The sequence below is a fragment of the Homo sapiens genome, chromosome 3, assembly GCF_000001405.40.
Source record: "Homo sapiens chromosome 3, GRCh38.p14 Primary Assembly".
In the NCBI taxonomy this organism is placed as follows: domain Eukaryota; kingdom Metazoa; phylum Chordata; class Mammalia; order Primates; family Hominidae; genus Homo; species Homo sapiens.
In genome coordinates, this window is record NC_000003.12 from 156,447,460 (window position 1) to 156,461,965 (window position 14,506).

The following is a 14,506-nucleotide window of genomic DNA, read 5'->3' on the forward strand; positions in this document are numbered from 1 at the left end:
AAAAAGTGAGGAAATGTTAACTGTGGCATAATAAATATTAATATTATAATTGCATTTACATATTCTCTTCTTGATAGCTATAATAATATATTCAAACCATAGGGAGACCAACCTGCACTATAGAATTTTATAACCTTAAGATGATTTAGACCCAAATTAAGGGACATTCTACAGAATACTTGATGAGTACTTTTAAAAGTGTCTACATCATGAAAGACAGGGAAAGACTGAGGAAGTGTCACATATTGGAGTGGATTAAGAAAACATACAATTAAATGCAATGTTGGATGCTGCTTAAGATCCTGGAAGAGAAAAAAAGACAATGAAATTCCAAAAAGATCTATTGTATTAGTACTGTACCCATGTTAATTCCCTGGTTTTGATAATTGCACTATGGTGATGTAAGATATTAAAATGATCTCATCTAAATGTCTAAATATCCTTTATACTCCAAGCAAGGCAGTCATTTAAATGGTAAACATGTTTTTTGAATGAGTACGCAAGAAGTAATTACCCTGATAATCACCAAACGATAATGAGGTAACCAAGATAGATGTGTGTGGTGGGCAGTTTTCTTCTTTTTACCTTTCATCCATCATTTTTCTGTGCTATGGTAGATTTACTCCAAGGAACCTAACACAGGTTTTCAAAGCAAATATTCCTTGGTCCATAAAGGGGTTTAATCAGAAGACACAAAATAGTTCAAAGAGTTATCTTTATACTCTCCCTTCTTTTAAAAGGTTAGAAATAACAATTGTCAGTTTAGTAAAATCATCTTGTAAATAACATCCCACTAATTTGAGATTACACAGTGAAATAATTGTATGCCATTCTAGGTCTCAGGAAAGCATGTTCTCATTAGAGGGAGAAAAATGGTTAAGAAAACTGTCACAGAGGGTTTTTGAGAATCATATTAACTAACAAGTCACCTTAGTTCTTCTGGAGTGGAGCACAGTGGAAAATAAAATCATAGAAACAGAGTTCTTCTGTCTAGAAGGCTGTTGCCCCGTTCCTCTCCAGCAGGAGGGGATGTGTCCTGTCTGTGAGAGGCAACTCCTCCTCAGGAGTAGAAAGTGGACCCCACCTACACTGGGCCACTTACCCATCTGCTTGCTGGAGGCATTTCAGCCAAGGAGAAAGACTTTCCCTTGGCCTTTTTCCACAAAGGGGCATAGCTGGGTGGGTACCCAGGGATAGGGAGAAACATTTCAATCATCTAGAGACTAGAAGAACTAAAGATTATTGATAAGCATTATTCATTTTTCTATAAGTCATAATAAAGATGTTTGTTTGGTAGGAAATATTCATTTTTCTATAAGTCATAATAAAGATGTTTGTTTGGTAGGAAATTATCCCAAAATTTTAAAGATTAATAACAGTCAACAAGGCAATGTAATTCAATTTAACCAACACTTACTGACCATGTACTAAGAACCCACTTCTATTCTAGGGCTGTGGAGATGCAAAGACGAATGAAATAAAAGTGTAGCCCTCAGACAGCTTACTCTCTAGTAAAAGATATAAACTCTATAAACAAGTAGGTAGAAAACAAATGAGTAGCAAGTGTCGAAGGGCCAGGGAGGTAGTCATCATGAACAAAATAAGCTGAATATAAGAATGACAAACTCCAAGAAATGGAAGCAAACACTTTATTCTTATTAAATTATGGAATAGGTATGTAATAATGTAAATATATATAATATTCATATGCTATTTTATATTAAATTTTAAAAACATTGAAAAAGGAAAACAATTATTGCTATATTTTTATTTCATAATTCATTACTGCTTTGACTTGGAATCAGAAACCTCACATCTTTTTTTCTGTACCAAAACATGTTTCAGGCCCTGTATTTTTCACTGTGATGTACAGAATGCAGCCTTAAACACTTATGCCAGGAGGGTGGTTGGTTTTTTTCAGATTAATTTTGGAGTCGAGCCTAAACATAGGCTCTTCCTAACATGGATGGAATTACTACTGTAAATGGTTCTTATATCTAGAATCACCTCTTCCAAAATGTGTGTACAATCCTGGCTTTCAGCATTGCTCTACTTAGACTTCAAATAGACTTCAGTACCGTTTTTGCATTACAGTTTGATAATGTCTAATCATAGCCCAACATAGGTGCTATCAAAAAATAAGAAAGGTAAGCTAAATAATGTTATTTCATTTTCATAAAGTTTGAAGTCTGAGAACATTTTTAGAATTTGGTTTTCAATGGCATAGTTTTAGAGAATAAATTTTATGGTATCTTCATTTCTGGAAACTGATCTCAATGTAGGAAAGTAGATGAAATTATTCCTTTACAAATGAATTTCCCAAAAAGTTACCTTTATCTGGACGGAGAGAAGCTCACAAATGAAACATTTGTGCAATACTTGTGACTGTACCTATAGAAAAATAGTCAAAAAATATAGATAAGTTGTAGAGTCAGCAAAAAGCTCAGGACTTTGGGCTAATCTTCACTGCTAAGCAGAGATAGGGCTATCCCCTGTGATGACATTAACAGTTAAAAAAATCTCTTCTGCACCACAGTGCAAGTAAGCCAGCAAATTCATTAAGCAAATGTTGACCTGATTTTGCTCAGAGACATAGAAGAATAGCCAATTAGTGGTATTAATTACTGAATCCATGGCTTCTCCCATTTTAGCTTTGTGCCCAAAGCAATTTCTGATGAATGAGGAAATTAATGGACTTGGGGATAGTGTACCTACAAAATAGTGCCACCTATGGGCTGTTACTTGACCGGCCTGACATTAACTCCACACATCCTGAGAGCTCCATCTATAACACTTGGTGACTTTGACCAATGCATTCTACATCCAAATGGTCTGAGACCTTTTTCATAACACAGAGTCAGCCATTTCCTGATGTTTTGCCTTTCATGGGCTCCTGTTTCTGAAGTTCCTTGACCCCTTCAAAATTCTCACCACACCACAAATAAATATAGTTAACAGTGTGCTATTCTCTATATCTGTGTTCTCATTTGCTGCAAGAGAAAATGCCACCCATAAATTAACTTGTCCTGAAAGTTCTCAATCTTATTTTTAACATACCAAGCTACAAAGTTGCTCATTAGACTAACATTTACAAATGCCTGTTGAGGCTCTGGACACATAATTTCTGCAGCATTCAAAAGAGACTCTTTTATAAACTGTGTTGTCTGTAAAAAGGTTTTGATACCCAGGCAATTTTTTCGCTTAATAAAGAACTGTATTTCACAGCAACTCACTTATTTTATTCTCATTCAAAAACAAATGCTGCCATTTCTTCAGTCCATTAAATTTTCCAACACCCATCTTTTCTGTGTAGCAGTCAAAGCTGATTTTTTTTTCAATGGTGCCTTAAGATGTAATTTTTCTTTGCAAACATTCTTTGTCTGGATACACTTCCCATCCACCCACCCCCCCCCAAAAAAAAGTTATGCTCCTATTTTTTTCTTATAATAATTGTTTTTTAGGAGATGCACAAGTTCATTTTCCTCTTCTTTTTACACTAAGAAAAATATCAGTAAACACATGGTGGTAAAAAGCTACTACTCTTTGATTTCAGTGCTGGGAATACAACAGGAAGATGTGGAGGCTTTAATTAACTGAGAGGGCACAGTCCTCTGATTTAGGGGCTGTCTACCTGGTGAGGACATCAGCTCTTTGCTGTCAAAGGCAGCTGGAAATCAAAACATTTCAAGAAAAATCTTCTAATTGTTTAAATGTTGGCAACTTATTCAAAATTTATTAAAATACCAAGTGGATCAACAGCATTCTAGTCAAGCAAAACAAGGCGCCCTGTGGGCTGCCCATCTGCAACCTCTGGATACGTAGAGTATAAAAGTAAAACAATTTATACCCTACTTTTATTTTAGTCCCTGAGAAGTAAGAGAAAAGGTACAATTATATGAATGTATTCCTATGGAATATGAACTCTAAGTGCCATAATTAATTTGGAAATGGTCTAATAAGGCAGTGTGGTGTGGTAAAAAGGATACCCTTCTTGAAGCCAGTCCGTTTGGGGAATCCTGGGTATTCCACTTATCGAGTTGGTTAATTTTCGATTCCTCATCTGGAAGTAAGCATAAAGTGATCTGGTAAGCTTCTTAGTATACTGTCTGGCATTTGGAAAGTGTTCTTCCATAAATGGTAGCTAGGACTGTTATTACAAAATGCAAAATATGCATTTTCGACCACATTTCTTTGTATGCCTCCCAAATATCACTTGTGCCCAGGCTCTACTGCTCTCACTCCTGCCGTCCCTCCCTGGTGCTCCCACATTTCATCTCACGGCCTGATGGTGTAGGCCCCTGCTCATCAGCACTCTCTGGAGTTTCCCACCTCCTTTCCTGGCCGGTGCTCTTGCCTCTCCCTAGAATGTCTGTCCCTTTCTTCTTCGTTCAGTTAACCCCTGTGAGACTCGACCTAGCTGTCACCTCTTCTAGGAAGTCTTCCTAGAATGCCACCACCCTCCAATCTAAATAGAGCACTCCCTTTTATCTGCCTTATGTTCACCTCAGTCATAGCATTTGTCAAATGGTCTTATAAACCGTGAGCTCCTGCGAGACAGGAACTGGGCCAATCATCTCACTGTCCCTTACACGTGAGTGCAATGCTTTTATGTGGCATGTAATTAGGAATCAAAAGAATTCATTCCCTCCTTTAGGAAGGGAAAGGAAGGGAATAAATCCTCCTTTTAGGAGGATCTATCCATAAAGGATGGAATGAATAAATGAGGTGCCTGGAGACCAGCATAGCAAGTGCCCACTCCACTTCAGCTTCCCTTCTACTTTACAAAGTTTCAAACGTCTTTGGCTGCTGAGTGTGCATCTCTCCCCTTGCCTTCCCAAACCTTACTCCTGCTGCTGTCTCCACTCTCACCCAAACCAGTGGAGATTTCCATTCTGGAATGGCAGGTTATGACAGAGAAGGCACATAAGTGTCACCTCCTGAGTCTTGTAAGTGGGCACTGGAAAGACCTCTAAGAGGGTTTCTTTTGAAAAGTAATAATGAATAAAAAATACAGCCACTATTTGGAGGCAAAGAAGGGGAGAACTATAACCATAACCCAAGGTCTTACCTTCACTTTCAGAACATGTGGCTTCTTAGCTCAGTGGGAGCAAGAATGGATCTTGTACACTAGCATCCATGGTCCAATAGCAGAAGGGAAAGCATCTTCTAGGACAGGGCTTCCAATAGTATGTACAGTGGCTTTCAGTAAAGAAACAGCAGCCCTTTCTCCAGAGGGATACAGACCCCTTCTGGAATACTTAGTGAGAAGAAGACAGACTAGACCAACTAGACCACAGCCCACATGTGCCCCTCATCCAGGTACCTTTGTGAACTACCCATACAACCTATTGAGGTAGTCCCAAAGTAAGAATTTCCCTTATTACGCACAATATTAGAAAAATGATGATGAATAATATGCAAATATTTATTATTTTCTAGGAACATGGGTGACATTTGGAGGTCAAATTTCAGATGAGGTAAGTTACCTTTGGCCTCTATTATGCTAATGAAAGAAAATGCAGAGAGAGCTGTATTGCAGGAGTCCTCTTCCTGGGACCCTGACACTCTACAGGGATAAGGTTTAATTCACAGGAAATGGTAAAATTGACTCAGAGATTATTGTTGATTTTATTTTTCCTGTTGTATTTTTTACATTTAGACTATTAATAGCCCTTGAAGCTGTACATTATATATGCAGGTTGAACAGTCAGAGAATGAAACAATTTGGAATTAACATTAGTCACTTTATGAAAAGATTGTATTGCTGTGATGTTGTTTTGCTTTATTTGTTTGTTTACTTTTAGCTGCAATTAGGATGACTAATTGGTCTCAGTTTACACAGAAGTTTCTCAGTTATAGTATTGGAAGCCCACATTGCAGAAACCCTCTCAGTCCTGGGAAAACTGCACAGTTGGTCACCTGGCTTGGGCGACTTAATCTAACCTCTCTGAGCCTCAGTCCATCCTATATAAAATGAGATGCTAATGCTAACTTTGATGGTGATCTGTTGAAAGAATTAACACATCATGCTTATCAGATGTTTATATAGTCCTCTGACTAGTAGGTAGCAGACACTCAATAAATGGCAGCTATGGTAATTATATTTACAATAAAATTCCTTTAGATCATCATTTGCACAGTCAAAACAGTACTTACCAAAGTGATATTTTTATCATTTCCTTTAAGGAATACCTTCATGGCATAAGTGAGGTATGCAGGCATTGAGCACCAAGAACTCCCCTGAGGGCAATGCCCTGAGTCCCTCTGATCCTTCCGTGTCTACCTGCAAGAAGAGTCAGGGATAGTGTCTCTGAGTGGGTGCACTGAGTGGGATCCAGTCCCACTCTACCATTGACCGACCTGGTTTACTAACATTTATGTGTACTAATGGTGGCCACATCAATAAAATGCTCTAACCCTCTAATCAGCAGGATGGTGGTTAAGATTAATGAGATGATGCCTGTAAAGTGCTTAGTGGGGTACCTGGCCCAGAATAAGCCCTTTACAAAGGTAGTTCTTACTATCATTCCTAACGAGACAGTTGGGAAACAGAGGCTTTTCTCCACAGCTCCCCAAATCACCAGTGTTATTTAGCAGATCTGAGAGAGAAGTCTTAACTGTATATTCTTGTCCATCCTAATGCCTGTTCCCTGTATTGGGCACATGTCACCTTATAAGGCTTGTCTCATGGGGGCTCCCCAGGGATGCAGACTTTAAGCTAGAGAGTAGCATGCAGGACAGTTATTAGGAAGTGTTCTCAGGATCAGCACAGGGCAGGGAAGAAAGCAGCACTGGGCAGACAGAGAACTTGGGTCATGATGCAGCCTCAACAATGACCTCAGCCAACTCCATGGGGATCTCCAAAGCTGAGATGGTTCTGCAGAGTTGTCTCAGTTTGGGACAACATAAAGGACTGGGCCTTTATGTCCTTTTACTGACCAGTCATTGGACCAGAGGCTGATCGGGAAGCAGGTCTGACCTCGGGCTAGGTGACTCTCTCTAGCCAAGTGCAATTTCCAGAGAGGGCTGACAGAGGAAGGCCATTTGATGGCAGCATTCCTAGCAGCTCAGGGAATAAGTCCCTCGGTTCCAAAGGAGAACCTGAGGGCACATCCCAGAGTTTACTACAGGACTCTGTCTGACTGGCACCAGGAAGGGGTGTATGGAGGAGGCACAAAGGGAAAGCCACAGAAACCAGAGCACAGGCTATGGACTTGAAGTCCCATACAAAATAGGTGGCAAGCAGGGAGGGAGGCCTACAGTTAATAATCCACTGTATCCAGCACATATATAACCTACTACTGATGGTGCTTGGAAGGGAAAAAGACAGAAATATCTTCCCTTTCTGAGCAGATTGGCCAAGTAAAGTGCATTATTTCCCCCTAGTCTTCACTCTCCTCTTCACAGTGTCTGCTCTCTGCTGCAATGAGCCAAGCTTGCCCGGGTCGTAGTGTGAAGGGCTGACCTCTGAGATGAATAATTTCAAAATTTCAAGTCTAAAAACTACGATAAAGCTGTCATGAATGGCTGCTGAAGCACTCACCTCAGATGCAGACCAGGAAAATAGCTATTGTACTTCCAGAGAGCATCTGTGGCCTTCCCTGGGTCCCTGAAGAGAGAATACCAGCAAAGAGAAGAAGGGAGACACAGCCAGATTCAGCCTCACCCATCACAGAATTATTTGAGCTCAATGCTTTCCGTGTAGCAAAAATGCGGACCAATAGCAGTGAGTTCACCTACCTCGATTTTCCTGCTTTCTCTCTGGCGTCAAATAATCTCAACACAAAGTACATGCAAATATGGAATACTAGGGCTGGCCACACCACAGTGTGCTGAGTTAATTGTTGATAATTACATGACTGTCAACACTTTCTCAGGAGGTGGGGATGTCCCCATCACTGGGAGAGTTCATTTATTGAATTACCATTTGGCAGGGATATTATCAAAAGGATACAAACACCAAACTCTGTAAGGTGCCTCTCAAAGATGATTTGGCTTCATCAAAAAATAAAGATAGATGTTACTGATATGAATAATTATTTACTTAAAATAATGATGAGAGCATATTAACATCTTATAGCACTTAATTTTCGGAGTTTTATTTACATTTTTTTATCTGTAAGGTAGTTAAGGTACCTTTAACTATAGGTAACAAAAACCCAACTCAAATCAGGTTAACCCATAAAAGAAAAATTATTATGACTTTTACACTAGAAGTGTAGATGAAGAGCAAACTTCAGGGCCGCCTCAGTCTGTGACTCCCAGTCTGCTTCCCAGCGAGTCTCTGGCCGTGTGGGTCTTTGTGTATCGACTGCTTAAGAAAGGCAGCTGCCGGAAACCTAGGCCTCAATTAGAACAGTGACTCCGGGGAAAGGGTGTTGCTCCTAGAAACTCAGTAGGAACAAAGAATAATGTTCCTAGAAGTCTCCGGCAAACTTCTCCTCATATCTCATTGGCCAGGGTGTGTCACATGACCCTTCCTGAGCAACTCACTCGTAGGCCCCCCAGGCCCCCGCTAGAGGGAGGTGAAGTCAGCTTTGCCTGAGGCCTCTGGGCTTCATGCAGGAGGAGGAGATCCCAGAACAAAATCAACCCCATTTTGCAAACCAGGAAGCTAAATTTACAGAGAGGTCAGATGATTTGCCTACGTTTATTTTTCTAGTAAGTAGGACCCTCAAGGCCAGAAATCACTCTTCAGACTTAGTTGGTGATGTTTTTCATTATTTCACATTCAGTCCTTCAAGTTCAATGATTGGGAAACATCTCTGTCATCATTTAGTTTAAATCTTCATCCAGAATTCTCCATCTTATCTTAAAAAAACTCTCTAGATAAGATTTGTGTACATATCCAATAATATACCAGTATGTCATATGACATACACAGGCTAATATAAAATAGAAGCACAATAATTTTTAAAACATAGGACAGTCATAACAGGAAAAACTTGTCTTAACTTTTAATCTCCAGTTAGGATATAATTTAAAAATTGTAGGAATATAAGATAAATGTTTTAATGGTAGTAAATTAAAAGCAGTAATAGCATACTATTATGCTAAAGAATCTGGATGGACTCCATTTTGCTAGCTTAACATTTTTCTTGGTAGGCTAATTTTTAAAGCAACAGAAAAATAGTTTATTTTGGAAATGCGGATGAAGCAACTTTAGCCTGCCATCAAAACATAATGGAAAAATCAATTAAAATTATTTGTGAGGTGTGTAATTTTTCAAATGACTAGTAAGTCAATCGGCAAAATGAAAAAATGGCCCTTCTCCACTGCTGTTTATGGCTATCCCTCTCTGGCTATTCCTTAAGCTGTGTATAGCTATTCTGTACTCTTCTGTCATACTCACCACTTGCGTTCAGCAGCACAAAGCAAGGAACAAGGAGCTTTGAGGTCTGTTTGCAGGCGGAACAGTGAGGAGCTGGGTTCCTGGTGAGTCAGAGGCACGCTGCCGCCTCTCTGTGTTGATTCAATGGCTGCTCTACAATGGCGCCTGAGATTTTGCTGAGCTGTGGGTGGCAGGAGTTTTACAACAGTCACAGCTCTGTCTCAGCCTCAAGGAAAAAGTCACAAGCTTTCAGGTCAGGAGTCATCCAGCTGCCAAAAGTTATTGGCTTGGAGAAAGGAGTTGAGGAATGGAGTCACACAGTGATACAAATGGCCCTCTTTGTCAGAAAGATTAAGATGCCATAAAGAATGTTGTCAAACCAGCTCTTCCCAGCCCAGTGAGAAACACAAATCTATCCACTTTGGGCAGGCTAAATCCCAGCCTTCAAGTAACCCCTCAGTGCCCTATGTCTGAAGGAAAGAATACTTCTGTCCTATGGATACTGGCTGAGACTTCTTTCTTTCCCTCTCCACTAAAACTAAGAAAAATAAGGAGTGGTTAGTGAGAGGTCAGTGTTCCTAAAGACCGGTAGAGGACTCAAAGTTGCTTCCAGGTTTGGAAAGCATTTGGCTTTTCTGAGTGACCTTTCTCTCCCCTTGCAGGTTGCTGAACGGCTGATGACCATCGCCTATGAAAGTGGTGTTAACCTCTTTGATACTGCCGAAGTCTATGCTGCTGGAAAGTAAGTCAGTACCTGTTTGTGTCACTCAAATGGCATCTGTAGCACCAAAAGAATCAGCCCAGACCATTTCCAGCATGTTGGTGAAAAGGTTCTGTCCTTTCTCCACGTGTTGGCAGCTCTGCTCTGTTCTGCCCTCTACCACCATTACTAGAATTGGGGATATTGACTGTCTCTGGCACTCTCTGCTCACCCAAACCTTCCTGCTTCTGGACCCTGTATGAAGAATGGGCTGAAGGGGTATATGACCAGGAAGCAATTGCCATGTCTATGTGAGGGGCAGCGGAGTCTGATGCCAGAGTAGTGGCAGAGGAGATTGAGAAGTATTAGTTGAATACGTGAGTGACCAAATGAATGAACAGATTCCAAAATGGTTGCTCAAAAGTTAGTCTTTTTATTTCATAACCATATCTCATAGTTTTTCAGCCCCTGAGGAACTGGGACATCCTCCTTGCAGGGAAACAGGAGCTCTCACTGTTGAACTGCCTGTCCCTACACTAGCATTACAGAAAGATTAGACGTCAAAGTCAGGATCCCCCAAGATGCCAAAGAATCTATCATCTTTTGTAAGAGGGGATCTCAGAGCCCATTCTGAGGACAGGAAGGGCTGCAGAGAGTCCTCGCTTCTTTTGTGAAAGGAGTCACATCCAACTGCAACCTTCCTTTGAACCCAAGGCAGATTTGGAGCCCTAAGACAGGGCTTGTTAAACCAGAACACATAGGAAATGCGCCAGGCCAGGCCTCAAGGTTCAGGCCATCCAAGTCCCAGCCTAACCAGCACATTTCAGAATAGATCTGGGGCTCCCTGGCCTCCTACTGGGAACATGGATGTCCAGCTCTCAGAACCAAGGAAACTAAATAGCTGCCCAGCTGTTTGAACAGCTCTGCAATTTTCTAACTGAACTGTGAGGTATAATCACCTGCAGGCCTAATTCACCTCCTTCCAGGTTAGAATTACAATCAAATTGCTGGACTTGCTGAATCAGGATGATCAGTGGATGGTCCCAGTGCATTTTCCTTGCATGAGTTTCCTCCTTTTCAAGAAGAGGTCTATGTTTAAGGACCATCAAGGAGGTTCAGAGCTCACATTCTTGATGCTTTCTGTTGAATCCAAGGAGAGAAAGTAAAGGTTATATGGTCTTGCTCCTTTCTGCCTTCTACCCCTTTCCATTGTTTTCTTCTTGTGGAATCCTGCTTAGTACCAAATGGCACTAAGGTAGAAAAAGGGAGAAGTAAGTAGCAAGTCTGTTAGAGTCCTGTTTGTATTACTCCTGTGAGGATAATCGCTCTGATTAATTATTGATTGTCGGTCTATAATTGAGATAGGTTTCCACTGTGAAATGCAAGGTTGCAAAAGGTAAAGGAGAGATAGGGAAAAACAAAAGCAACACCAATGTAAGACTCAATGCTTGTCTCTTTGGGGCATGCTCCACAGCTAACCCGCATCATGGCTTATTGCAAGCTATACACTCTAACAAAGACAGAACTCTCACTTAAGACCAATAATGACTAGCCATGACTCCCATCCATAGCATCCTAATGGACAAGGTGCTAATTCCACTGATCTCCCATTCACTAAGCCTCTGAGACCCCAGCTGCTTCTGACAATGTTGGTCTTACTGGGAGGGACATAGAACATTTGTCTCCTCAATCTTGGGTCCCAGCCTGGGTAGGTGGAAGAGGAGAGGATGGTGGATGCCTTCAGTATGCCTCTGCAACCCAGCCTTAGGGGCAGGAAGGACACTTCGTTATGTCTTCCTCTGTTTTGCTCCTATGACAAAGTTTGTCACTGGAACCTAAGATGTTCTGTACGCGAGTGTTCTCTATGTGGGACATCTAAACCCACACATCGGTTCTCAGTTTATACCTGGGAGCAAATATTTTTTATCTAAACAATGTGAGGTGTCATTGTTCTCCATAGTCACAATTGAATTGCTTCACAGCAATTAGAAGGAAAACTGACTCCCTTTGGACACTACCAAGCTGGACATTTATATATGGGATCATTGGTTCAAAAACACCAAACTGCAAAATGACTGCTGCTGCTTAGTATCAGGACTGCAGGCGGTCTCCTGCCAGCGTGTCAGGATTTGGCAGGTGCTTCTGGAATGCTCCGGAGCAGGATTTTGCAGGCACAAGCAGAAACAGCGGAAACTGTGCTACCAGCCGAGAGCGGCTTCTATTTTCGGGATATGTAGGCACTGAGAGTTCAAACAAGGAATGGTTCTTGTGTTCTGGATTGACTCTTGCTTTTCCAGGACACTGCATTCTAAGACATTATCTGTTTCCCCTTCCAGGGCTGAAGTGATTCTGGGGAGCATCATCAAGAAGAAAGGCTGGAGGTATTGCATTCGCCATAATTATTTGTTTTTAAAAAGGTATTATTTTGCACCAGAGAAGGAAAAATAAAATTATATGACACCTGACCAAAAGGCTGTCAAAAAAAATCAACTGTTTTTAAAGCAATGATTTATAGTGGCTTGAAAATAAATGCCGGCAAGTTCACTTCTGGAGCTTCAAAAATTACTGACTAGTCATTGATCACAATGAATTACCAAAGAGTTGAGCAGAGAAGGGGGGGATGTTCATGAAATATTTGTGCATGAAAAAGTGACAATTTCATGGCTTCTGACTGCCATTTGTGCTAATCTCTTGCAGGAAGTAACTTGACAAGAAGCTGATTATCCCCCCACACACATGCATTTATGTTTGCTGTTTATTTTATTAACTCTGGATGCAAAGGAATGATGAAACAAGAAGACTTTGGGATAAATACCCCAAAGCTTTCTTATCTGAACACATTTAGTCAGCATCTCTCCTGTGTGCCCAGGAACCCTATTATCTGGCTATTCAGAACAATGCTTCATCTGCTATCCTTGAGAAACATGAGGGGCTGTGCTTACACGTCCCTTTCCAACACCTCCTGTAGCCAAAGATAGTGGTAATAAGGGAAGCTATAACATCTATGGGCAGTGGGGAGGTAATACTTCCCCATTTCACTATAGATTTCAGCCCCAACAGCCACTACTTCCCCAGCACGAGTACAGAATTAAGCAAAGCCCAGCAAAGGTTACTGAACAAGTTTGGGGTCCTCCTCTGCCCTGGCATAATATCTGCTGATTACCAAATAAATGACAGTGTAATGATATTAGTGAAGACAACTGTGGAAAGAGCTGTGTACTCATGCTTCAACACTTAGCATGTATTTTCTAAAATTTAGTCTAGAGAAAATGGACATTCTCAAAGAGTTCAAGAGTGGTTTTATTATGCTTTTGCACACATGATTTAAACTCTCTCTAGGAAGCAAAACTAAGAAGGTGAAACAGACCCATGTATTTTTAGGGCTGCTTACTCCCCACTCTGAGATAAACTTTTGGTAGGAATAGAGGGCCCTGTGGAAACAGAAAACCAAATATTTATAGAGATATGAACAAATAAACTTTGATGACCTACTTTCTCCTTCTCCCTTCTCCCTCTCCCCCATCCCAGGGAACTGTAAGGATGTTAATAGAAAACTATATTCCACCTTATATATGGAAAAACATTCATGTTCCCACTCAGTCCTTCACCTTGCCTGAGTTACTTTCCCACTCAGAGTATTGGTTTACCCATCACTGCCTAAATAGAGACTGTATCCATTCGCTATGGTTGCTGCAACAAAGGACCAGAAACTGGGTAACTTAAAATAACAGAAATTTATTCTTGCATGTTTCTGGAGGCCAGAAATCCAAAATCAAGGTTTGACTTCAGGGTTGGCAGGGCCATGCTCCCTCTGACATTCTGGGTAAAGTTCTTCCTTGCTTCCTCTTAGCTTCCAGTGGTTGCCAGCCATCCTGGGCATTCCTTGACCTGCAGCTGCAGCACTTTAACTCTTCTCTCATGTGTCTAAGTGTCTTCTGATAAAGACACCAGTCATATTGGATTACGGGCCTCCTCTACCTATTAACTAATTATATCTGCAGTGATCCTATTTCCAAATAAGCTCACATTCTGAGGTTCTGTGGGTTAGGACTTTAACATATCTTTTTGGGGTACACACTTCTTCAATTATAACAGAAACCTTGGAGATAATTCCACTAATAGTACAGTGAGGTCTGCAACAAGGCGTAGGCTGCTGGAGTACATCTAAGGAAGGAGGGAAAGTATCGGTGCAGTAGCTCTTTTCTTTCTTAACACCCAGAGAACATTAAATTATCACTCTCCATAGCTGCAGAACCTATTTTATATACCTTTTGTAGAAAATAGATCACCATGCATTTTCCACAAACTGCCTTTCATTCTTGCAAATAAAAACTCAAGCTATTATTATACTCCATAATGTTTATATCAGTTCACAGTTGCCCCCGTGAGACTGGTGAAAAGATAAACCATATCATCATAGCTTTGAGCCTATAAAAGCTGTTTCAACTAGCACACTTGACTTCTGGTCCTGGCGC

The 14,506-nt window shown here is 40.8% G+C and overlaps 1 protein-coding gene and 1 long non-coding RNA gene across 13 annotated transcripts in view, besides 2 other annotated features; one reads left to right on the forward strand and one right to left on the reverse strand.

Moving 5' to 3' along the window:
• Nucleotides 1-14,506, forward strand: part of KCNAB1 (potassium voltage-gated channel subfamily A regulatory beta subunit 1) — a 420,928-nt gene that overhangs the window by 329,249 nt on the left and 77,173 nt on the right. For 8 of the 11 annotated variants that reach the window (XM_017007171.3, NM_001308217.1, NM_172160.3 and 5 more), the window contains exons 3-5: nt 5,440-5,477; nt 9,994-10,073; nt 12,368-12,412. In XM_017007171.3, the coding sequence (XP_016862660.1) occupies nt 5,440-5,477; nt 9,994-10,073; nt 12,368-12,412 (163 nt within the window). Of the gene's footprint in view, nt 1-5,439; nt 5,478-8,463; nt 8,662-9,808; nt 9,900-9,993; nt 10,074-12,367; nt 12,413-14,506 lie in introns of those variants that run through there. The other 3 variants (XM_011513116.4, XM_011513117.4, XM_017007173.3) reach the window with 3 other exon arrangements.
• Nucleotides 1,636-9,492, reverse strand: LOC124906298 (uncharacterized). Of its 2 annotated transcripts, XR_007096139.1 has the most exons (6): nt 9,353-9,492; nt 7,544-7,609; nt 6,157-6,283; nt 3,987-4,060; nt 3,234-3,305; nt 1,636-2,391 (listed from the first exon to the last, which is right to left on the reverse strand). It is a non-coding gene; the product is annotated as an uncharacterized LOC124906298 (long non-coding RNA). The 2 variants fall into 2 exon arrangements; XR_007096140.1 differs by lacking the exon at nt 7,544-7,609.
• Nucleotides 9,047-10,246: an enhancer, noted in NCBI's record as "CDK7 strongly-dependent group 2 enhancer chr3:156174295-156175494 (GRCh37/hg19 assembly coordinates)". NCBI's record gives its function as "activates an origin of replication core promoter dependent on BRD2, BRD4, P300/CBP, MED14 and CDK7 cofactors, with strong dependence on CDK7, by STARR-seq in HCT116 cells {active_cell/tissue: HCT116}" and the evidence as "EXISTENCE:reporter gene assay evidence [ECO:0000049][PMID:35650434]".
• Nucleotides 9,347-9,958: an enhancer, noted in NCBI's record as "OCT4-NANOG hESC enhancer chr3:156174595-156175206 (GRCh37/hg19 assembly coordinates)". NCBI's record gives its function as "activates a minimal SCP1, AML or CMV promoter by ChIP-STARR-seq in naive H9 embryonic stem cells {active_cell/tissue: H9 hESC(naive)}" and the evidence as "EXISTENCE:reporter gene assay evidence [ECO:0000049][PMID:30033119]".